Genomic DNA, 26,827 nt, shown 5'->3' with positions numbered 1-26,827 from the left:
CCAAGCACTGACTACTTTAAGCATTTTGCAGACATGGCCTCATTTAATGCTTACAACAGTCTTATGAGTACATTCTATTATCATCCCAGTTTAAAGATGAGGAACCTGAAACACAGAGGTACTCAGTAACTTCCCAAAAAGGGGAGCTGTACACCCTAAAGGGCCACCCATTGTAACCCAGGCAGCTGGATCCTGAACCCATTTTCTCAAACTCTCCACTCCCCTGAATCTTCAACACATTCTCCTTGCACTTTTATTTAAAGATCCTCCTAAATCTTCTTCTGAGATAAAAATCCTTGTTAGTCTGCTGAGCTGGAAGTATGTATTATATCTATTCACCCTGTGCCACCCACCAGAATAAAAGTTTTCTGGGGGCAGGAACCTCCTCTGCTACAATTATTGTCTATGCCCAGCATGTCATACCATGCCTGGAAGAAAGGGCACTCAAACGTTGATGGGTAAATGGGTAAATGAATTGATGATCATCCAAAAACTGCCTTTTTCCTGACCTTAATCTTTTTTTTTCTTGCCCTGCTTTCCTTGAAAGTGTATGAAGTCCAACAGGCTGAACTTAAAGCACAAATAACTGTGTTCAGCTTTTGTTTTCTCCATACACACAGGAGGATGGCATTCTCTTGTCTTTCCTGGTTTGAAAAGAAAGTAAAATCCTAACCCCTGCTGTTGTGTTCTCTATCTTAGTCGAAAGCAGTTTCTTTGTCATCTGGAACAACCCTTGTCTGTATCTTCTAAGCATCCATGTTATTCCCTTGTCTAACCTAAATTTGCAGGTGTCATTCTTATCCTACTACATGAAAAATTTAATTGCATTTCATATCTGTGCTTTTAATTTTTTTTATTTTTTTAGACGGAGTCTTGCTCTGTTGCCCAGGCTGGAGTGCAGTGTCATGATCTCAACTGTCTGCAACCTCCGTCTCCTGGGTTCATGGGATTCTCCTGTCTCAGCCTCCCAAGTAGCTGGGACTACAGGCATGTGCTACCACACCCAGCTAATTTTTGTATTTTTAGTAGAGGTGGGGTTTTGCCATGTTGGCCAGGCTGGTCTCAAATTCCTGACCTCAAGTGATCCACCCACCTTGGCCTCCCAGATTGCTGGGATTACAGGCATGAGCCACTATGCCCGGCCTGTGCTTTTATTCTATAAAGCATCTAGCCAGTACTTAGCACACAGTAGGTGCTCCAGAAATGTTTCACCTGAAAAGCAAAAAGATCATAGTAATCCTCTTAAAAGCAAGCAACTTATTGTATAGCAGGGATTAGCAAAGTTTTTCATAAAGATCTACATAGCAAATACCTTCAACATTGCAGGTTCATTGTCTCTATTGCAACTACTCAAATCCGCCTTTGTGGCATGTAAGAAGCTGTAGAAAATAAGCACTTGAATTAAGCATAGGTATGTGCTAATGAAACTTTATTTACAAAAACAGACTGTGAGCTAGATTTGGCCCACAGGCCTTAGTAGTTTGTCAACATCTATTCTATACCATGCCCCACATTACAGTCCTAACTATTTGCATTCTAACAGGGTAGAGTTGGTGGGAAGAGAGAATGAATTACTGGAAAAGCTCAAAAGAGTGTGGCCTCCTGAAAGTAGGTCAGATGCTTTGTTTGCATATGCAAAGACCATAGCATAGTTTGCATTATATATCTTTCTTTCTCTGCATGAAATCCTTTCCTAATCTCATTCTCTACTCAATTTCCCCTTAAAGCTCTCATCCTTCCAAACCTTTAAAAGATAATAAATAAGAATTTTATATTAAAGATAATAGGCTTTCAGGGATCCATCTGCAAGGAGGAAATGAGAGAAAAAAATCTTATTAGAACGTATTCCCATCATATAGATCGATCTGCAATTCACCAATTATAAATTTGTATTTTTGCTTTATCAATCAGCTCCATCCCTTTTCTAATAATATCCCTTCAGGACATCAAAAATGAAATTAGTTCTTGGCAGTTTCATAAGGCAAAGGGGAAAAGGTATAGAACATATCTTAGCTAAAAAATAAAATCATAGGCAAATGGAAAACACCATGCAATTAAGTAATAAAATATAAAATTTGAATGATGATCACCTATCTACTTCTACCTTAAAGGATATGTTGGTGTCCAACCAGGAAAACAGAAATTAGTTATTGTATTGAAATAAAGGAAATTTAAGGGCATTTTTTACACAGGGAATTAAGAAGTTGACAAGCCAAAAATGAGTCAGGGAAGTCACTTAGAGATCAGAAATAGCAGAAGGCTGCTTCCACACCTAGGCTGGAGAGAGAGAGGAAAGAGGCCAATGAAATCAAAATGAACCTGGATGTCAATAGGTAGATCACGGAAGAGATGTAGCACTGTAGCTGCCACCTAAGACTCAGAGAGGGGAAGAAAGTACCCAGGCTCCTCCTGTCTTTCTTCCCTCCAATCTCCTGCCAATGCCTCCCTTTGGTCAAATGCAAGCAGCTGACATAGGAGCCTGGGAATTGGCTTGGCTTGAAGGGCCAGCTTCTTGTGATAAGAGGTAGAGCAGTGAAAGAGTAAGCAATGGGGCTGGGCGCTGTGGCTCAAGCCTGAAATCCCAGCACTTTGGGAGGCAGAGGCGGGTGGGTCCCTTGAGGCCAGGAGTTCGAGATCAGCCTGGTTTACATAGTGAAACACTGTCTCTACTAAAAAATACAAAATTAGCTGGGTAAGGTGGAGTGTGCCTGTAGTCCCAGCTGTTCAGAAGGCTGAGGCCGGAGAATCGCTTGAACCCAGGAGTCAGAGGTTGCAATGAGCCAAGATTGTGCCACTGTACTCTAGCCTGGGCAACAGAGTGAGACTCCATCTCAAAAAAAACAAAAAACAAAAAACAAAAACAAACAAAAGTAAACGAGTTAAAGGAATGCTGTTAGGACTTTTCTGACACCCAACATTAGCTTCACGTTCTTCCTTTTCTGTTTTCTTGCTTTTCTTTCCTCCTTTTTTTTACCACAGTGATGTACACCTGAGCCACAGTTGCAACCAAACTACAAAACATTCCTCTGGAGCACTGTCTCCTTCCAGACCAAGGTGCTCAGTTTTCTGTCTATAGTGTCAATTAGTAAGTGCCGGTGGTGGGAACAGGGGAAGAATGTGTGCAGGAAGACAGGGCCCCAGAGAGCCTTGGCTGACCCAGTTCTTCCCCCTTCTGCTGTAGTTTTTGGGAAAACTGTAGCATGTGCTGAGGATACAGTGTCCTGACATAAGGAGAAACCACCTAGAATAGCCCAGGCTTTGTCATCCCTCCTGGAACAGGATATCCTGCAATGCTTGTGCTCAGCAACCCAGGGGCAACCAGGGTGTAAAACCCATAGTGGATTGCTTTTGGTGTCCCTCAGCTGCAGTATGAAGTGGGCATGAACAGATAAGGCTCCACCTGCCCTGGGCAACTTTCCTGAGACTCGGGGAACTGACTCAGCATGGATTCTAGGTTTGTTTGTTTTAGCTGCCTATCCTTGAATAATAAAGTTGCTTTGCCTGACTCCTATCATTATTCTTTCTTACCAAACTGGAGCTAAGAATGCAAGTAGTAGAGGTATGACCCCTGAAGCAGCCGTGTCTCCTTTGAGTCCCTGCCAGAGTCAAGAACTCTTGTAGAATTCTGGCAGCTGGGTTTGTGAAAAACCTCCTTCCACACTTAGAAACCTTTGTAGAAACTGGTGAGGTTTTAGAGTCCCCCTGGGATTGGAAATTTGTATACAGTGTTCCCCTTTCCATAACTGACACTGGTGCATAGAATTCTGCTTAAGAGGCTGGAGATGGTGAATTATCACATATAAGTAGAATCTGTCGCTCCACTACTCTGGCCATTGCTCTACTTGATTGGCATTGGATAGCAGAACAGACAGCAGCTAAGCAGAACAGAAATTAAGCTGGGCACCTAATTTCTGACCTACCTTGCATTGCTAACCTATGGTTCTGTTCTCTTGTCACCCAAAGGGCTAGCAAGACTCTCATGACTCACTTTTTAGTGGGATTTTCAAGTAAAGCTATTGAGCCCCAAGTGATGCACGGTTATTTCCATGAAACCAATGGCCTCCAAAGTTTAAAAATTTTGCTCCATTAATAAAATATGTTTAAGTTCACATTCCCCAAATATGTACTTTTAATAACTACTGTCTCGATACATATCATGGACTTTAGTGATGGTAACAACTAACAACAGTGGATATAAATTCATAATACAAATATTAGCTGTCTAATAATTTGAAATTTGGTTATCTAAATGCTTCTTATATCTGATTAGATTACCATAATTTTACCTCCTACTTGGGCTGATAAGAGTCCACTTAAGTGTAGAAGTGTCAGCTCTTCCTATTTTTTCTCTATTACTAATGCATTCTTAGTATTGTCTTTAGTCAGAAACAATATTTAAAGGTAATTGTTCGTCTTGTGAAGGTCAACTTACATAAACTAGAAAATAGTCATAACTCCATTTAATGGGCCCATGTAAACAGCAATGGATCCTGAAACACAGAAAACAAAAGGATGAAAAAGCGTGTGACGGTCAGCCCCACATCTGTGTGGCATCCCCCTCCCAAAGTCAGGATGCCTCTTGTACCTGACATGTACCTGCATGACCCACAGACCCAGGGAGGGCCATGGTATCCATCTATATGCCCAATATTAGAAAAATTATTTATTTCTTATTTCCTTAGATGAAGAAAATTATAAAGAGAAGTTCCAACATATTTTCACATCCCCCTCCTTGGGAGAATGCTGCTTTAAATGACACTCTTCTTTTTGCCAGAATTAAGATGTGCCTAGAAACTCTGCTCCTCCACTGCCTGGACCTTCACTCATGCTAATTTTCTCCAAGAGATCTGTAGTGGGTTGAACAGTGGATACTAGAAGATAGATCCAATTCCTAACCCCTCAATACCTGTGAATGTGAGATTACTTTGCAATAGGGTCTTTGCAGATATAATTAGGTTAACGATCACAAGGTGATGTGGTTCTAGATTTAGAATGGGCTTTAAATCCAGTGAAATGTTCTTATAAGAGATATAAAAGAAGACAGAGACCTAGAGGGAAAGGCCATGTGAAGATGAAGGCAGAAATTGCAGGGATGTGTCTGCAAGTCAAAAAATGCCAAGTGTTACCAAAATCACCCATAAGCTAAGATAGAGGCATGGAATATATTCTCCTTTAGAGTCTTCAGAAGAAACCAACCCTGTTCACACCTTTATTTTTGAATTCTGGCTTCCAGAACTGTGAAAGCGTAAATTACTGTTATTTTAAACAATCAAGGTTTTGGTCATTTATTTCAGCAACTTGGGTGCCAATACAAGATCTTATTGTCTCTCTTTCCAGTTAGGCCCCATCAGGGACACCTCTCCCCATAATACACCAGACAGGCTTGTATAATTCTAAACCAATTTGTAAAATGTGCTGGTTCTGTCCTACAGAACTTTGGAATCAAAAGATATGGCCAGGCAGCTCTTTCACTGACTTAGAACTTGCACTGTAATTTAAGTTACTCCTCAAATATGCTAGGTTCTTTAGAAGGCTAGTCTGCATAAAGTAGAAAAATGGCCCATGGGGGCAGCATAGTTAACTCCATAAACCTACTAAACAATGACACTCTCTCCTCCTGTCAGTGTGGAATATTCATATGAACCCTTGGAACAAATAGAGCTACTTTGCTACCATGAGAGAAGCCAGCCTTAGGATGAAGCTGATACATGGACCTGGGCAAATAATATAGATAAGGAATTGCCACCATGATCAACCCACACCTGAAGCATAGTTTCAATCTTCTTGGTAATTAGGGCAATATAGCCTTATATTATTTAAGTCTGCTTATACTGGATATTTTATTACTTGCCACTGATAGCATCCTAGCTGGTATACTCTCCTCTCCCTTTTTTGTCCTCATGGTCTCTTTTTATTTTTATCATTTATACATTCAATAGTTATTAAATCCTTGATACTGTAGGACTTTGTATTTTCTAGTTTTTTTCCAACCAATTTGACAGAATATTCTCAGTATAAACATAACAAGATATATTGGTGTTTTCCATTTCCTTTTGGCAACTAATAGACACGGTGATCAAGGAAAGTAAATTAAGACAGATGTGAGTTATAAATTCTTTATGGAAAAGTTAAGATGGAACAAATATATACACATACATATTCTTATGTATATATACATAATATACATCTTATGAATATATACTTATCTACATATTCTACTCCTTTTGTTCTCATAAACTTATGAAAAAATGTAGTTTAGAACATCCTCCCCCAAAAGTGATAAATTTAAGATAAATTTATAGTACATCCAGTATAACAAGGCTATTTAAAAGGTACTGGGCTAAAAGATTATGTCATATTAGGATAAGAATTTTCTCCATTCTCTTGACAAAGTCATGGCTCTCCAGTTGGGTCTATGAAGAGGTCCAGCTCAATGTGGCTTTCAATTTTCTTCCATTGTAGAATTACTATTTGACCATGGCCCCTTGTTCTAGTCTGCTCAGGCTACCATAACATAATACCATATACTGGGTGACTTAAACAGCATAAATTACATTTTTCAAGATTCTGGAGGCTGGAAGTCCAAGAGCAAGGCATTGGCAGGGTTGGTTTTGGGGAGGGGCTCCCTCATTGGCTTGTAGATGGCTACCTTCTCACTGTGTCCTCAGATAGTCTTTCCTATAGATGTGCACTCTCTCTTCCTTTTCTTATAAGGACACCAGTCTATAGAGTTAGGATTCCACCACTATAGCCTCATTTAACCTTAATTACCTCCTTAAAGACCCTATCTCCAAATTCAATCATATCAGAGGTTAGAGCTTCAACATATAAATTATTCAGGGGATACAATTCAGTCCATAACCCCCCATTTTGTCCATTACATTTCTCACCCTGTAGGTATACTTCACATTTGAAATCTATCATATGCACCTGTACACACTTACCTAAAAGGGAGAGAGAGTGTTTAAAAACCAAATTGCAAAATAATATTATTGAGGGATACCAATGGTAATTTTCCAAAGGTTGGGCCATAATGACCCTGCAAATGGTTGAAATCTGTCAACATCCTCTTTTGAGATAACTATTAACTATTTGGTTTGTGTAGTCTGGTACAACTTGCATCTGTCAATCAAATATGTCAAAACATAACATTCCTACTGGCTGTAGCAGAATAGGCTAGTATCTACACACATCTATCACATAGCGTCCCTATCTCTGCATCCCTACTGAGGCCTGGAATGATCATTCAATCAGCCTGTTCAATCCCTCTCCTTACTTCACTATCAGACTAAGACCTTCCTTCTCCCCAATCTATCTTATTTCAGGCCACACGGATCCTTTCCATCTTTGATTGTCTATCACCAACACCACTGCTATTGCTGGCATGTCTATCACCAGCACAATTACAGCTTCAGTGCCTAATCCCATCTTTATCTAGATTGCATTTATGGGCATGTAGTCCTTTCTGAAATACATCATTCTGAGCATTGCCTTATTCCTAACCTTTATAACACCATAACATCATCCAGCCTTGCCCTGTTGCCCTGATGATCCCTAGCACATAAAGGGAGCTAAATGAAAATTTGGAAAAGCATGTGGTACAGCCCGGCTCTGTGGGAGGCAGTAGGAAAAAGGCCCAAATCCCTTCTTTGGGGCATATATTTCCTCATATCACCCACTTCTGGGTTCTTTCTTTCATAGCTGGTCCCAAGTCACCCTGTAACTACTCTGATTTACAGCCCAAACAGTGTGTTTGAGTCAAATTTTCCCTCTTGGCATTGAGAATAATGAAGATTGAGAATTGAAAATGCTCCTATTAACCCAGCAGCTCTTCTAGTTTCAACATTTCTATTTTATGGAACCAGACAAATATGCTTTATTAACCATACTATCTAGAGGACTTCAGATTTGGTATACTTATCGTGCCTGATATACCAGTCACCACTTCCATTTCCTATGGACATCAAGCTAAACTTTGTGTGAACTTTAACAATGAATGAAAATTGATTAAAATCACACATGCTGAATTAGTTTTTCCCAAGGATAGCTAACAATTTTCTGAATAAACTTGACCTTTTCACTTCCATTTATTTTAATATAAAGGTAAATGGAAATCACATTCAAACAAGTGTATCAATCCACTTGGGAAAGCCTAAAAACAAACTTATGTCTGTGAAAATGAAAAGTAATTTACTCTTTTTATTAAGATGTATTGTAAAATCACAATTGTGATCTTATGCGTGTTTAGCAGCTCTGCTAGCCTATTTACAATTTTCTGGATTTTTAAAAAGTATATTTGTTTCTCCTGTAAATAAAAGTGGTTTGTTTTCCCCAGAACAAGAAGCATAGTTCTTAACTGAGAAAAAGATTTAGATATATTATTTTTTTTGAAAAAGAATGCTTCGTTAATGTAAAACTCTATGTCAATAAAACCATTTAATTACAACATATAACTTTCCATATAGAATTTTTTGAAAGTGATTTCACATATACTTTAATTATTTGAATCTCACCGGCAATGCAATGACTTTCTTGGTGACACACTACAACCTCCAGGAGAAGATCATCTCTCTGCCAATGTATATCCCCTCCCCTTCTTCCCACCCTGCTCACCCTAATACAGAGGTATTTGGATGTAGGTTCAAGATAAAGTGGACTCCAAATTGTTCAAGGTACAAAGAAAGTGAAGATTTTGATGTGAACAACACAGACATAAGAGCCTCCATCTTCTTTCTGGACTATCTTCTGGGGTTTTCCTTTGGCTCCTTTCCATCCACTCAGCTGGTTGGTCTGAGGTTAGCATCCATTTCAGAGCCATACTCTGTTCTTAGGAAAGAGGCAGAATCCAGGATGGATCCAAGAAACCTGTGCCTGATAAATGCCAGAAGGCATCCTTGTGACTTATACGTGTGCAGACCACAGCATCAGCGTTGAATATGACAAGGCAATATAAAGCCATAGGTGCAGTGAGGAATGAAATAGGCATTTTAAGTGTCTTCAAATGGCCTCATGGACCAGGGAGAAGGAGCCAAGTATACGAGGTAACAGGGCAGCATGTGATCTTTCAAGATCAAGGCTAAATATCTTAAATTATATAATGCCACTCTGATATCTCCTGGTGCCTGTGCCCTCTCTGCAGGTCCATTTCCAGAGAGCAATGGCCACCCACTACCAGTGGACCAGGCAGATGCTAGGAATAGAGATCGCCCACTGTGATGCTCTCCCAACAACATCAAGTGGCTCACACCATTTCATCCACCTAAAGGGACTTCCCATACCATCTTAAACTGTCAAAAAAAAAAAATTTCCTCACTTCAAAACTTGCTTCCTGTATGATGGTTCTTCTGACCATGCCCCCCTGGTTGAAGTGATGGTAGACTCATGCAATATATTTGTACTGAATACCTACTAAGTACAACAAATTAGGTCAAATTCTGAGAACAAAAATACAATACATGGCCCCACCTTCCCTCATGTAACTTACAGTCTAATGTGGTTGATCTATAAATACATTGACAATCACATTACACTGCAGTGAGGTAACTTACAGATGCTCAGAGGACCAGCTTCTTCAAAGACAGTGAGTAAATTTGGAGCCCAAATCCCCCTTCCTCTAGTGGCTATATCAATAATTATTCATCTAATTTACTAGAGAATTAATCACCTTCTATCCAGAGGTATCTCTCTAGGCTTGCGCTGATTTGTTATTTAAATTTTTCATTTGTAGCTAGCTTTTCACATTATTTTCATAGATGACCTCAAATGCTATTCCTGTTTTATAATACCAGATTTTACCATCTTGACAGTGTTATAAGTCCCCACAAGGCAGAGACATTTTCTCATAACAGCCTCAGCTTTCCTGGACTGCCCACCCCCCATTCCCATCAACAATTCCTTGGATGTAGTTGGCACTCGTTTTTCCTGGGTTTCGATTGAAAGGTACATGAATTCAGGAATTAAATAAACTTCTGTCAAAGGGTGGCACTAACATTACTGATTATACTTTTTAGGCAAATGTAGTTATCTTCTTTAAAACTCAGTTTCCCCACCTTTAAAATGAGAGCAATAATTTCTACCTTGCAAGATTATGGTTAAGAGTTAAAGAATATTTTATAATAAATTATATAGCGCTTTGCCTTGCACACAGAGCACCTTAAAGCATAATCTTTAACTGGTCTGAAGGGCTTAATTATAGCTAGAGGGCCCTGAATTCAAATCCTGCCTCATCTAATGAACAGATAGTGTGACATGGATGATGTACATACTCTCTGCAAATCCTAGCATTCTCATCTATAAAATGGGACCAATAATAATGGAACCCATCTCCTGAGATTTTTGTAAAGATCAAATGGAATGATGAATGTGGAGCATTAAGCATGGCACCTGGCATATAGAAAGCACTCCACAAATGTTAGCACTTAAGAATTACATTCACTAGCTTGCTTCAGGGCCATGATGTGTGAATCCCCAAGATTAAAGAAGATCACATCATTTATCTAGAGATTTATTTTTATCATATTGCCCTGTAGGTTTTCAGGTCCTAACCAAGGAGAAAAACCTCTCTTAAATTGAATAATAATAATAATAACAATGATACTAGTACACCATCACAAAGCTCCTACACGTTCTCTATTGTCACTTTGCTGAAAATCACACCTATCAATGGTTGTGTGTTCACTGAACAACAGCTTCATAAGCCAGCACAGCTCACCAAAAGACGAATAGGAAAGGCACAAATCCTGTGTGTAAATTCCTCACAGTCTCATTAGGGAGTAGGACAGGCAAACAAAAAGTACCAATGTTGTGGAGTATGTGCTTATTGTTAGGGGACGTTTATGGTACAAAAGAGCTGGATCTGCTGTTCACAAAGAGAAAGCAATAAAGAAAAGCTCCAGTGAAGAGGCTGTACATGAATTCCGTCATAAAGGCAGAGTTAAGGCTTACCAGGCAGAAGAGGCAGAGGAAGTGACGTGGTCAAATAACCCGAGGCATGACATGGTGTAGGATGACAAAAGGAAAAGGTTTGAGTTGTTCTTGTGTTTGTGATGTGGATGTAAATTGGGGAAACAATAGAAGAGAAGTAAGAACCAATTTATCTTGAAACTTTACCTAAAATTTTGTGATTTTTGACATTTTAGGATCACCGATTTCTTTCAATTCCTGACAAATATTTTTACTCTCTTTCAGGAAAATATACATACACACATATTTCTATAAAATACCTTTAATACCTGGAAAGGTGGGAAGTAATCTACACCTAGGAGTTTGTTTGTTTTACTCTGTCTATTGGATATGCAGATGGTATCTCCATAGGATGATACAGCCATTGGGACAGGGGCAGGAGAAGGTGGAGGGTGGTGTGGGGAGGTGATTGATTCTCCAACAAAAACAGTTGCTTTCCCCCCTGCCTGGAGACTTCCCCAGTTTTTATTTGAACAGTTACTCCTCCTCCATACAACATACAAATGCTTTGTATTCTGTGACTCTGATGGGGATCCAGGCTTTAGGATTAAGCTGGTTCCATAGCAGGCAGGAGCAGGACAAAGACACGAAAATGAATATGGCTCTTAGTGATACTTTTGAGCCACAGAATCAGTACAGCCTTAATGTCCATCTACCACGGGGCTCTCCTTTCACGGTAGCCAGTAAAGTTCCTATGTCTTTCAACAAACCCGAATTTGACTTTCCTTGTTGTATCTAAGAGTATCGTAACTAATAGATTACAAAAATAGACACATACTCTCCCATTTGTTCAACAGAGTCCAGCAGCATCTCTCCTTTCCATTCACTCCCTTGACCTTGCCCCTTCTGGTTCCTCTGCTCTTCCCACACTGTGTGGTCTCAGCTCTCAGTTAATTAAGTCCATTCTTCTTGGAGCTGGAGAGTATTGGGAAACCTTCAAGTCCCACATTTACTCAGCTGGTTCATCTGTTTGTCTTAACATGTAAACCTTCCTCTTACTGGTGTTCTAACTTCCTCTTAAAACACAGCTCTAGGGTTTACAATGTTATCCTCTGCCTATCAAAGACTGCTAAGGTTTCTTTCCTCATACTTAGATATGGGCCAAGAGCCTCAAAGATAGGTGACAAACTCTCTAATAGTAACAGGGAGAAGAAAGCTTCCTTCTACCATAACAGTGTTTGCAGTGTGTGCAGAGATTTCCCCAAAGGCCTCACTGTGGAGCGATATCGTTCAAGTGAAAGTCTCTTAAGTGCCCACATTTCCTTTTTATGTCTGTGAATTAAATTATCAAAATATGTTCTTGTGCTAGGTATCTCTCCTTTCTCTTTCTCTCAACACACACACACACACACGCATATGTATATATGATTGCATGCATATGTATATTTATACAAACGCATACATATATACAGCTTGGGCCATGCCTTCATGGTACCTCCAAGATGTATATAGCATGTTATTCTGAGTTTACGTCTGCAAGACAATTACTTAACGTTTTTTAGATTATCACCATTTAATGGTTTGTAGTTTCATGTCCTCCTGCCTAGAGCAGCCTGTGTACTCATGGACAAATAGAACAACAGGTTTGAAGTGGATTGTAAGGCCCAGCTTATCCAGTCATTAAAAAATAGGTACTTTTCTATAAAGCATAATGCCTGGGAAGTAATAACTGGGAATATTGAACACATCACGAAAGCACTCAAAAATGGGAATTGCCTGTTACTGACCAATGGAATCTTTATTTCAAATTATTACTTTGGGAAAGGTGCCTGACTATACAGACAGTATTCATAATATGTTATGACCATCTTGTTTTTATTCATTTGAATGCACCAAGCCCCCCTTTCCAAATGCAAGCTGTGAAAATGCAAGAAGCCAGGCAGGCAGTTGCTCTTGCTCTCTGGAATTTATTCACACCATGAGTCACTTCTAAGGGCCTTGTTCTCAACTCTCCAAACTTTCACTTGCTTTCCAAGATCCCTTGACTGATTGAGCCTTGTTCTCCTGACTTAGATTTAATCAACCCTTGTTCTAGAAGGTCTGTTACTTACTCCCTGATCTCACGTGTTCTGGGTATCAACAAGAAACACTTGACCCCTTGACCCTCCTGTATTGATTATTTATTGCTGCATAACAGATAATGTTAAAAGTTAATAGCTAAAAATGACAAATTTATCTCACACAATTTCTGAGGTGAGGCACCCTGGGGAGTCTTGGCTGGGATTGTTCTGGCTCGTGGTCTCTCATGAGGTTGCAGTCAAGATGGCAGATGGGGCAGCAGTCAGCTGAAGGCTTTACTGACACTGAAACATCCACTTCCCAGACAGCTAATTCTCCTAGCTCCAGGCAAGAGGCCTCCATTTTTTTTCCTTATGGGCCTCTTTTTATGATATGGAAGCTGGCTTCCCTCAGAGAGAGCCAAGAGCAGGGGTGAGGGTAACTATGAGTGTTTTATATCCTATCATGATTATGTTAATGATGTTATAAGAGCAGAGGCACAAAGGTTAATTCATGCTGTGGGGTAATGATTTAATATTTTAGAAGGGTACCTATCTGTACACTAAAACATGCCTGGGTTTTAATTCCAACATGAAATACAAATATTCCTGCATAGAAGAGGACATTTCTTTTATACATCTCTGAAATGTAATAGTGACAACAGGTCACAGTGGAATTGTAAACATTTAAGTAATGTTGGCAATGTAGACACCAAACCAAATCTATAAGTTACAGTTGTAAGAAGGATATTTCAGAGAGGTGTACTTCTGCCCCTGTTGTAAGATCTAGAAGGTGACTTATAGATAATAGAGAGCAAAGAGATAGATTCTGGTTGAACCTCCTACAGAATAATAATAACTGATGTGCTTCTGCTAGTCTTTTTTTTTTTTTTTTTTTGAGACAGAGTCTCACTCTGTTGCCTAGGCTGGAGTGCAGTTGCGCGATCTCAGCTCACTGCAACCTCTGCCTCCTGGGTTCAAGCAATTCTCCTGCCTTAGCCTCTCAAGTAGCTGGGATTACAAGTGCCTGCCACCATGCCTGGCTAATTTATTATATTTTTGGTAGAGACGGGGTTTCATCATGTTGGACAGGCTGTTCTTGAATTGCTGACCTCATGATCCACCCTCCTCGGCCTCCCAAAGTGCTGGGATTACAGACATGAGCCACTGTGCCCAGCCAACTTCTGCTAGTCTTTTTGCAGTTTCCCTGTTATTTAGTTATTTATGATCTCTTCTATTGCATAACTTACCATGAATTTACTAACTTAGAGCATTCTATGTCTACTAACTAACCGTGGTAACTTTCCCTTGTCTGATGCATTAAATTTCCTTTCCCATCAATGTGATTGGCTCAACACCACACAGTTCAGCAGTTACTAATATGCACCAAAGAGTTACTACAAGACTGTAATTTTAACCCAGGCAGAAAATTTCAAAAAGCTATATCTGGTAACTTTTCTGCAAAGTGGTTGTAACCCAGATATTCTATCTGTGTGAAGGCAGCTCAACAATATTCCTATGAAAAAGGTGTTAGTGAAGGACCTTACACATTATCTCGGGAGGTACACTATCATTCTAGTGCTATACTGAGTACCTTTTGCATTGTCAATAGCTCCCATGATTAAAAGAGAGAATTAATATGACAGACATCTGGATTCATACTTTATTTCAGTCATCTCACTTGATCCTTCAAATCCTATGAGATATTAATTATGTATTTTTTCATTGTAGAAATTAATGCTCGGAAATAAATAGCACACTGCAAAATGCCATAATTGAAACCCAAGCTTGCCAGCGTCTAAAGCCCATTCTTCGACCATGATACCATGGTGCTTTTTTCAAGCGATATGGCTTTTGCCTCTCCTCTAATGACTTTTTCATTCACCTCTCCACCTTGGCTTTATGGCACGCGCGCACACACACACGCAGAGTTTAGGTTAGCTCACCATTATTTCTTTAGTAACTGTTATTTGATTTTTTGCCAACCAGGCACCAAACAAACTGACTTAATTTTTTATATTGCATCTAGTTTGCTAAATGATAAGGGACATGTAGTAATAAAATAATATCCCAGAGGACATTTTCACATTTTACCTGCTGTTTCTCTTTTAAAATTTCCATTGTTAAAAGAGCCAAACAGCCATAGGCTCTGGATATAATAGCTTCAGCTGCAAATAAAAGAATTGTCTTTACGGATGGAAGGTGTGAAAAGGACTATTGCTTGTCTCTCAGCTACTATCCCACAGAACATTGTAGTGTGTTCAAACAAATGAGGACAGTAGTGAATAAACCAGTCTTTTAAACTTGTATAAGATTTTCCATACCTGGATTTCAGATCATTTTAGAGGCAGGTATTAATTTATTCTTTTTTCTCCTAATTTTTCATATGGACAAATTTAGGGACAGAAGAGATAATGAACTTGGCAGAGAATCAGGAGCAAGACATTGATGGAAAATGGTGCTGATTTAAATGCTTCCTGCTTGCATTTCTCATAATGAAAGCACAGCCATACTGTTACACTTGTATTTTATGGCTCACTGAAGAACCTCAATAACAAATTTTAAATACCTATCAAATGTCATAAAATGTCATTTAATATTGTTCTTGGTTTGTAAAGGGAAAATGAAAACTGATAAAGTTCATGTATATTTTGTGCTGGTTCAATATACTAAATACCATACTATAAGACTTTCAACAAATATATAGTCCATTGTAATATGGTAATATTAAATAAGAGGGTGCTACATTTTTTCAAGAGAAAGCAGTCATATTAAAAAGGTTATTTTAATGATGCTCTAAACAATTTCTTTGGCTGCATCACAGCATAGGTTCAGTTGATAATAAAAATTGCCTTTGAATGAAGTACTCTAAATTTTTACAAGACTCCAATTCTCCTGTGCAATTATGGAATTTGAAATGTAATTCTCCCTGGAACCATAAAAGAATTAGACCAGAGAAATGCTGTTAAGAATAAAGCAAGATAAAAGGGAATTGCTTCAAGATCCTTTTTATTCTTCTATTTCTTAGTGTCATGTTATGTTCCAAGTCACTGTGTTGTTATGGAAAAGGACAATGAGAAAATCCAATCTAGACACTTGAACATTTCTAGAATGTTGACTCAGGGATATTTTTTCTCTTGATAATTATGTATTAATTCAATATGGACATCTGTGTGTGAAGTACTCAAAGAATTTCCAGAGGAATCGATGATATGTCAATGTACAACTGTTTAGCATTGGTTTATTGTGGACTCAGCACTGTGTTAGGCACAATGGCTCAGGCAAATGGCCCCCGCTCTAGATCTGCATGGCATTTGTTTATCATTTGAACTGAGATGTGGTTATTACAACTTAACTTCTCTCTATTTCACATTCCATTAATCATCAAGTCCTATAGATTCTATCACTTTCATAATCGCCCATTTCACTACATCTCCAATACCACTATTAATAATGATCACAATAAGCGCCTAACTGCCCTCTTTGTCTTTGATCCTATCCACTTTAATTCACTCTGAACAACAGTTTGGAAATAAAATTGTGAGTATATCACCCCCTCCATTTTAAACTGTTTCAGAGTATTTTCATTTAACTCCTGCTAAAGTTCAAGCTCATCAGCATAACTAGGCAAGGTCCTCCGTGAGCTGACCCTTCTTAACTTCTAGCTGAGATTTTTTACTCCTTCTGCAAATATTTCATCCAAATTAAATATCATGTAGTTTCTTGGACAAGAAAGATTCTTCTCTCTTCTTCTCCCAAGTCCTTTTGTATTACCTCCTTCTAGAGCTTACTTCCCTTCACCTTTTACCTGGCTCACTTTACCAGTCTGTTGAGACTTAATTTAGAAATCACATCTTTCATTTTGTCTTTCCCCACCCTCTCCTCTCCTATGAATTAGGTCTTTCTTCTATGTAAACAATTAGCTTAGGTACTTATAACTGATGCTGTACTTATACGGTTCTGTTGTCTTCCATGAACATGTGTTAGATCTTTGAAGACAAATATTACGTTTTATTCATCTTGTGAAATTTGTCCTACACAGAATTTGGCACATGGTTATCCATTCAAATGTTTGTGGAATAAATATGAATAAACTCAAAGAGAACACATATTAATTTTGTCCTAATTTGCAAATTTCTCCATTTTATTTCCTTCACTGCAAACTATCCCCACTGAGAGAATTGGTATCTGAGTTCATAGTGTTGATTTCTAACATTTTAAAACAAAAAACTATGTTTCGATTATAAATCATATTTAAATAAGAATACTTGCTTCATCAACTATAAGAACATAAATTGTAAGACATATTTTCTCTACGGAGATGTTAAAATGTAGGGGAGAAATGTGTCTTTTATAATTAATGAAATAAAATTCCTTAAGGTCTTACCATATGCTTGGCTCCATGCTGTTTTATATTAATTAATTCTCTTAATCTTCACCACAGTCCTATGAGGAGGGTATTTTTATTATTCTCATTCTAAAAATTAATAAAATAAGTTCAAAGAAAGGTAATTTTCCCAAAGTTACCCAGATTATAAGTGGCAATTGTAGGATTTATCTCTATCTTACCCTACTGTCTGAAACATTCTTGATATTCCTTTATTGGGTTCAGTACTAAGAAGAAATCATAGAAAATAATATTATTGGTCCTTATTTTAGAATATGCTTTCCTTGGGTTCATCGTACACACACGTGCACACGTAAACACAAATATACACAGTAATTGTAAACAGTGTGGTACATCCCTTTAAATTTTGTTAAAATACCTCCTGAGAAAAATGGAGACAAGTAGGGGAAAGAATCTCAGAGCTTGAAGACTATCTTTCTGAAATAAGACAGGCAGAAAAGAATAGAGATAAAAGAATAAAAAAGAGCAAACGAAACCTCCAAGAAATATGGGATTATGTAAAGAGACAGAACCTACGACTGATTGGGGTACCTCAAAGAGATGGGGAGAATGGAATAAAGTTGGAAAACATATTTCAGGATATCATCCAGGAGAACTTCCCAAACCTAGCAAGACAGGCCAACATTTAAATTCAGGAAATTCAGAGAACTCCAGTAGGATACTCCATGAGAAGATCAACCCCAGGACACATAATCCTCAGATTCTCCAAAATCGAAATGAAAGAAAAAATGTTAAGGGCAGCCAGAGAGAAAGTCCAGATCACCTACAAAGGAAAAGCCATCAGACTAACAGTGGACTTCTCAGTGGAAACCCTATAAGCCAGAAGAGATTGGGGGCCAATATTCAACGTTCTTGAAGAAAATAATTTCCAGCCTAGAACTTCATATCTGGTGAAACTAAGCTTCATAAGTGAAAGAGAAATAAGATCCTTTACAGACAAGCAAATCCTGAGGGAATTTGTCACCCTCAGGACTGCCTTGTAAGAGCTCCTGAAAGAATCACTGAAAATTGAAAGAAAAAATTGTTACCAGCCACTAAAAAACCACACTGAAATACACAGACCAGTGACACTATGAAGCAACCACATACACAATTCTGCAAAATGACCAGCCAGCATCATGATGATAGGATCAAATTCACCCATAACAATACTAATCTTAAATGTAAATGGGCTTAATGCCCCAATTAAAAGACACAGAAAGGCAAGCTGGATAAATGGCCAAGACCCATCACTATGCTGTCTTCAAAAGACCCATCTCACGTGCAAAGACACACATAGACTTAAAATAAAGGGATGGAGGAAAATTTACCAAGCAAATAGAAATCAGAGAAGAAGGGGTTGCAATCCTAGTTTCTGACAAAACAGACTTTAAACCAAAAAGATCACAAAAGACAAAGAAGGGCATTACATAATTGTAAAGGGTTCAATTAAGCAAGAACAGCTAACTATACTAAAATATATATGCACCCAATACAGGAGCACCCAGATTCATAAAGCAAGTGCTTAGAGACCTAAAAAGAGACTTAGACTCCCACACAATAATAGTGGAAGACTTTAATACCTCACTGACAATATTAGACAGATCATTGAGACAGAAAACTAACAAAGATATTCAGGACCTGAACTCAGCTCTGGATCAAGCAGACCTGATATATACCTACAGAGCTCTCCACCCCCAAACAACAGAGTATACATTCTTTTCATCACCACATGGCACTTTAAAATTGATCACATAATCAGAAGTAAAACACTCCTCAGCAAATGCAAAAGAACTAAAATCATAACAAACAGTCTCTTAGACAGCAGCACAACCAAATTAGAACTCAAGATCAAGAAATTCACTCAAAGCCACACCATCAAATGGAAATTGAACAACCTGCTCCTGAATGACTCTTGGGTAAACAATGAAATTTAGGCAGACATCAACAAGATCTTTGAAACTAATGAGAACAAAGAAACAATGTACCAGAATCTCTGGGATGCAGCTAAAGCAGTGTTAAGAGGGAACTTAATAGCACTAAATGCCCACATCAAAAAGCTAGAAAGATCTCAAGTTAACAACCTAACATCTCGACTAAAAGAACTAGAGAAGCAAGAGCAAACAAACCCCACAGCTGGAAAAGACAAGAAATAACCAAGATCAAAGCAGAACTGAAGGAGATAGAAACACAAAAAACCCTTCAAAAAATAAACGAATCCAGGAGCTGGTTTTTGGAGACAATTAACAAAATAGATAGACCACTAGCTATACTAATAAAGAAGAAAAGAGAGAAGAATCAAATAAACACAATCAGAAATGATAAGAAATGATATCACCACTGACCCCACAGAAATACAGACAACCATCAGAGAATACTATAAACATCTCTACGCACATAAAATAGAAAATCTAGAATAGGTAGACAAATTCCTGGACACATATATCCTCCCAAAACTGAACCACAAAGAAACTGAATCCCTGAATAGATCAATAATAATGAGTTTGAAATTGAGACAGTAATAAATAGTCTACCAACCAAAAAAAGCCCAGGACTAGACAGATTCACAGGTGAATTCTACCAGAGGTACAAAGAAGAGCTGCCACCACTTCTACTGAAACTATTCCAAAAAATTGAAAATGATTCTCAAAAAATTGAATGACTTCTTCCTAACTCATTCTATGAGGTCAGCATCATCCGGATACAAAAACCTGGCAGAGACACAACCAAAAATGAAAACTTCAGGCCAATATACTTGATGAACGCTGATGCAAAAATCCTCAATAAAATACTGGCAAACCAAATCCAGCAGCACATCAAAAAGCTTTTCCACCATGATCAAGTTGGCTTCATCCCCAGGATACAAGGTTAGTTAAATGTACACAAATCAATAACTGTGATTCCTCACATCAACAGAACTATAGACAAAAACCACATGATTACCTCAACAGACACAGAAAAAGCCTTCAATAAAATTCAACATCCCTTTATGTTTAAAACTCTCAGTAAACTAGGTATTGAAGGAACATACATCAAAATAATAAAAGCCATATATAACAAACCCACAGCTAATATCACACTTAATGGGCAAAAGCTGAAAGCATTCTCCTGAAAAACCAGTACAAGGCAAGGATGCCCTTTCTCACCACTCTTATTCAACATGGTATTGGTTCTGGCCAGGGCAATTAGGCAAGAGAAAGGAATAAACAGTATTCAGATAGGAAGAGAGGAAGTCAGATTATCTTTATTTAAAGATGACATGATCCTATATTTAGAATACCTCCTCATCTCAGCCCAAAAGTTTCTTAAACTGATAAGCAACTTCAGCAAAGTCTCAGGATACAAAATCTATGTGCAAAAATTGCTAGCATTCCTATGCACTGACAACAGGCAAGCAGAGAGCCAAATCATGAATGAACTCCCATTCAAAACTGCTACAAAAAGAATACAGCTAACAAGGAAATGAAGGAACTCTTCAAGGAGAACTACAAACCACTGCTCAAGGAAATCAGACAGGACACAAATAAATGGAGAAACATTCCATGCTCGTAGATAGGAAGAATCAATACTGTGAAAATGGACATACTACCCAAAGTAATTTATAGATTTAATGCTTTTCCCATTAAACTACCATTTACATTCTTCACAGAATTAGAAAAAATATTTGTATATTCACATGGAACCAAAAAGATCCCAAATAGCCAAGACAATCCTAAGCAAAAGAACAAAGCTGGAGGCATCATGCTACCTGGCTTCAAACTATATTATTACAAGGCTACTGTAACCAAAACAGCATGGTACGGGTACAAGAACAGACACACAGAACAATGGAACAGAATGAAGAACTCAGAAATAAGACTGCACACCTACACCCATCTGATATTTGACAAAATTAATAAAAATAAGCAATGGGGAAAGGACTCCCCATTTAATCAATGGTGCTGGGAGTGCTGGCTAGCGATATGCAGAAAACTGAAACTAAACCAGTTCCTTACACAGAATACAAAAATTAACTCAAGACATACAAAAGACTTAAATGTAAAACTCAAAACTATAAAAACCCTAGAAGAAAGTCTAGGCAATACCATTCAGTATATAGGCATGGGCAAAGATTTTATAATGATATCAACAAAAGCAATTGCAACAAAAACAAAAATTGACAAATGGGATCTAATTAAACTAAAGAGCATCTTCACAGCAAAAGAAACTGTCATCAGAGTGAACAGACAACCTAAAGAATGGGAGAAAATTTTGCAATCTATCCATCTAACAAAGGACTAATATCCAGAGTCTACAAGGTACTTACACAAATTTACAAGAAATAAACAAACAACCCCATTAAAAAAAGTGGGCAAAGGACATGAACAGACACTTCTCAAAAGAAGACATACACGCGGCCAACCAACATATGAAAAAAAAAGCTCAGCATCACTGATCATTAGAGAAACGCAAATCAAAACCTCAATGAGGTACCATGCTAGTCAGAATGGTTATTATTAAAAAGCCAAAAAAACAACAAATGCTAGTGAGGTTGCAGACAAAAAGGAATGCTTTCACACTGTTGGTGGGAGTGTAAATTAGTTCAATCATTGTGGAAGACAGTGGAGCAATTCCTCAAAGACCTAGAGGCAGAAATACTATTTGACCCAGCAATCCTATTACTGAGTATGTACACAAAGGAATATAAATTATACTATATGAAGATGTATGTACACATATGTTCATTGCAGCACTATTCACAATATCAAAGACAGGGAATCAACCTAAATGCCCATCAATGATAGATTGAATAAGGAATATGTGGTACATATACACCATGGAAATGCTGTACAGCCACAAAAATGAATGAGATCATGTCCTTTGCAGGGACATGGATGGAGCTAGAAGCCATTATTCTCAGCAAACTAATGCAGGAACAGGAAACCAAACGCCACATGCTCTCACTTATAAGTGGGAGCTGAGTGACAGGAACACATGGAATGTTGGGGGGGAATAACACACTCTGGGGTCTGTCGCAGGGTGGTAAGGGGCATGGGAGAGGGAGAGCATTAGGAAGAAGAGCTAACAGGCTTAATACCTAGGTGATGGGATGATTTGTGCAGCAAGACACCATGGCACATGTTTACCTATGTAACAAACCTGCACATCCTGCACATGTACCGCTGAACTTAAAATAACAGTTGAAGAAAAAAAAACTAGAAATTAAAAAAAAACAAACCACGGAGGGGAAGCTGGACTGAGCAATAAATACATGAATGAGTATTAACCTGGAATGTTAATGACATCTCGGGATACATGCAGACACAGACAGACACAGACACACACACATACACACATACACACACTTCCCACATCCAATCACTGTTAACCATGTAAAAATATCAATGAAAAATATGTCCTCCTAACTTCTCCTTTGTTGACGATGGTAATGATTCATGTAGCATCCTTGATTAAACTCATCCCACACATGACTTCCTCTGGGAAATCTTACCTAACTCCTCTATTCTAGTCCATAACACTCTGTGCCCATCTCTATCATGGTTTGTCCTCACATGCGCACTTGTCAGTCACTTAGACTGTGGATTCCTCACATGCCAAGATTACAGCTTGCTTTCTTCCGCATTTCCAGAATGCAAGGGAGGTACTTTGTAGTTCTAACTTTCAGTTTTCCATGCTAATCCAGCCATTTAGCTTAGTATAGAAGGGAAAAGTGCTGTCTCCTAGGACCAAGCATCAGAACATCCTAAGAAGCTTTTCTAGCCAAACACAGGCTTGGTGGTTTTGTTGCATTTCTACATGAATGCACAGCCTCTTCCACCACCCCTCTTGGATTAATCACCACTGCCTGAGTCACTGTACAAGGCAGCAAAAGGGAGATGTACTCAGGTACATCTAGGTAGAAAAAATAGAAGAGAATTATTACTCTACTTTTACAGAATTGCATTATAGATTTTTTCAAATGTTTTTTATATTTTAGATTCAGGAGATACAAGTGCAGGTTTGTTATGAGTATATTGTATCTCTGTGACTTTCCACAGGCTAGCCCCACCCTCTTCTCCACGTGACTAATCATTTTTTAGTTTTTATATGCTAGATCAAAGTGAATTAATAAATATTCAACCTTGAACTGGGTGCTATAGAAAATAGAATTGTGTAACATGTTCTTCCCTTTGAATTTCTTTGATGTAGCATGACTCACACATAGGAACAAAGAGTGGCACAAGATATTGAGTGACAAAGTGCTAAATTTATCATCTATAAGTGGAGAAATGTTTTGTTTTAGATAGAATTAGAAGAAATGTTTTCATTACAGAAAAACTAATGTTCTACCTGGAAGAAGAATTCATGACAGATGAATAACAGACAAGAAAGGAAAGGGCATTCTGAAGAGACGGGACTCTGTGTGTCACCAGGTGAGGTTGTAGGAATGGCCTAGTACCTGAACTCGAGTCTATGCCGTGAAAACGACCAGAGTCTAGCACATGACAGCAGCCACAGAAATGGTGGAAGCCTTGCTCCAGGCTCTCATTATCTTTTCTTGGGATGTGACTTATCAGAAAGAGATTATAACTCCTTCAACTGAAATGCCCAGTTCTCAGGGATTCCCAGCTTCAGAACAGCTGTTCATCCTTTCTTAGTATCCAATCTAGGATTCTGTGGTTGAAAGCTTTAAAATAAGTCCTAGTGAAATGGGCAAAACATGAAGAGCCTTATTAAGGTTAGAATTTGCAAGGTCAGGGTTCAGATTTAAAGTTTACAACTGAATAATAATTCTGGTTGTTTGATTTTTAAACAAACCAGATCTACCCACATAAAAACATCCAAATTAGGTGGCCAATTTGACTTTTATGTAATTGAATTCCCAAGTAAATCCAACATGTTTCTAAGATACATCTGCTAACTTCTAAAGTAACTGTTAGCACCTTGTGACTACACTAGAGAAGCACAGAAAAATGTACAGTCCCCAGGGAGTCTTTCCTAAAGACCCCCTCAGGTGCAGCCAGAAAGAATAATGCTCAGAAGAAGTACCATAAAGGTCAGATGGGGAAAATAAGCAATGGTGACTCAACTGGAAAGGTTCAAGCCAACCAATGTCTGCTCCTTACTATTCTTGTCCATGCATATATTATTTTCTTCAACCAGTAACAGATATATGGGGATTCCACTGTAACCCTATCCTACGTGGGAATTTTTATAGCTGTTTTCTTGTTTTTCTCAACATTGTTGTATAATGCATGTCTGAGATGTGGTTAAACATATAGATTTTGTTCATATATTGCAAGGTAATGAGCAACATATGAGCAAATAATTAAAAGGAATGCACATCCCAGAGATACTATAAACTTGGTTCTGGTTGCAATAGTTGGATATGACTTTAAGTTTTCTACTACTTGGAAGAGGATGAATGCATGTGTGATACTTGAATTATGTTAAATAGAACGACTCTTGTAATTTTTTGTATGGGAAGAATGTATTGTACATTGGACAAAGAAGCTCTTGACTACAATTATTGCGTTTTTTCCTGGCTCAGGTCTTCTACCACACAGATAGACATGTGATCCAAAATGAGATAATTAATGCTCCTTATCCTATCTGTCATAGGGATGAGTCTAATGTTAGCCACATAACTTAAGCTCGGCCATTCAGAGTCATTGCCCCTAGTTTTTCTGATGGGGCTAACTAGGTATATGGTATCTCTTGGAGCCATGGAGATGAAGAATTAAAAGCAACTTAGAAGCAGAGATAAAAACCCTAGGATTCCTAGGGTTATGATGTCCTCAGTTTTAGCTCTTTACATCTATAGATATATTCTGGTTTTGCCATTCTTTTCTTTAATTTTGTGAAGTATCATAGAGTTTTGTTAATAAATTGTTTGTTTTGGTTTGCTGGAACTTAGTTGTGGCTGCTTGAAGAAGTCAAACCAATAGATAACTTTACATATGTACCTCAATCCACTAACCTTTTAAAGTAGCTACTATTATTATTATTATCTGAAAAACAGATACAAAAATTGATACTAAACAAGGTTAGGTAATTTTTCAGTCACTTAGCTCAGAAGTTTTAGAACTGGGATTGGAAATTCAGTCTGAGGCTATAATCAGAGTGCATTCTCTTTTCCTTGCATCACCTTGCCTTCTGAAGATGATTAGCAGTTAGTGAGGTAGAGAAAGCAAGCAGCCTGCATGTGTTCCAGGTCAGAAGAGCATGCTCATGTCCTATACTGGAAACTGGAAGTAGCACTCAGGGAAGAAAATACAGTGTACTGGTAGAGCCAGCTGTAATAATTGCTTATGAGAACAATATTAAAGAACAAAATCAAGGGATAAATAGGCTATATTTATGCCTTAGAAAAGCAAGTCTGGCAGCTGCTGTGGGAATAATGCATTAGAAGAATCCAACAGTGTAAGCAAGAAGACCGGATAGGAAACTTCTGTGATCACACGGACAAGGAATAATGGGGTCTTAATAAGGTGGCAAGTGATGGAGAGGACAGAGCCAAAGTCAATAAACTAATTACCAGGAGCACAATCACTGGGTAGAAAATGTATTAGGAAAAGAAACAAATCAGGAAAGACTTCCATATTTTAATTAGAGCATGTGTATAGCTAATAGTGACATTTGCTAAACATGGAAATATAAGCAGAATTGCGAGTTTAGGGTGAAGAAAAGATGAGTTCAATTTTGCACATTTGATTATAGGATATCAAATGGGAAACACTAGCAAGCACATAGCTAATTCTGGAGTTCCGGAAAATTGTCTCAGGCTTCAGAGAGAGAAATGGACGCCGTTAGTTCCCTTTTGGGGTAAACATAGGTCTTAGGTCTATGTTTTTCTATAACCAAAAGTTAATTATTTAATTATTGACAAAAACTGAGACAGGAATTTAGAGTAGCAGGGATCAGGCAGTGATTCCTAAGAGTCAGTGGCAAAATAACTATCCCAGCATGGGGTACAGCTTAACACATTCAAATCTTGTTGTTTGTTGTTGTTTTTCTCATGAGTTACGGGAGTGAGGAAATTAACACACAAGTTGGAAGGAGTGAGTTGGTGAGCAGGGTGAGAAAGGAACCTGGTATAATATTTCACAGCTAGGAAGAGAAAGAGGAATCAATGAAAAATTCTCAGAAAGGGCAACCAGACATTTAGAAGAAAGAAAATGAGGATATCTGGAAAGAGGGGATAATGGTCTTCATCAGACGATGCAGAAAGTTCATGTACAAACAAAAATAAAATATGTCCTTTTGACTCAGTTTGTAGGAAATTGTTGTTAACCTCCATACAGACAAATTAGGAATGTTCAGTAAATGCTTAAAAATTCAATCACAATCAGCCGCAGCCACTTCAGTGGATCTCCATGGTCTCCCCTAGGTAGCATCTCCTCAATTCTACAAACACAACACTAAGTATCCTGAAAACAGAATTCAGACCTACGCACATGAATCGAAGGTGCTGTACAGTATCTCACAATGGAAGAGAAGG

At 38.2% G+C, this 26,827-nt stretch overlaps 1 protein-coding gene across 10 annotated transcripts in view; it reads right to left on the bottom strand.

Annotated features, from left to right (window-relative positions):
- Window positions 1–26,827, bottom strand: part of DPP10 (dipeptidyl peptidase like 10) — a 1,403,140-nt gene that overhangs the window by 1,134,174 nt on the left and 242,139 nt on the right. For 2 of the 10 annotated variants that reach the window (NM_001321910.3, NM_001321905.3), the window contains exon 2: window positions 4,433–4,490. The exons of the other annotated variants lie outside the window; for them this stretch is intronic. Coding sequence is in view for 1 of the 2 variants with exons in the window: in NM_001321905.3 (NP_001308834.2) it covers window positions 4,433–4,490 (58 nt within the window). In the remaining variant the exon portion in view is untranslated. The remainder of the gene's footprint in view (window positions 1–4,432; window positions 4,491–26,827) is intronic. 10 annotated transcript variants of the gene reach the window in all.

The sequence above is a fragment of the Homo sapiens genome, chromosome 2 (assembly GCF_000001405.40).
Source record: "Homo sapiens chromosome 2, GRCh38.p14 Primary Assembly".
NCBI lineage: Eukaryota > Metazoa > Chordata > Mammalia > Primates > Hominidae > Homo > Homo sapiens.
The sequence above is the reverse complement of the archived record's forward strand: the minus strand, read 5'-3'. Positions and strand labels throughout refer to the sequence as shown.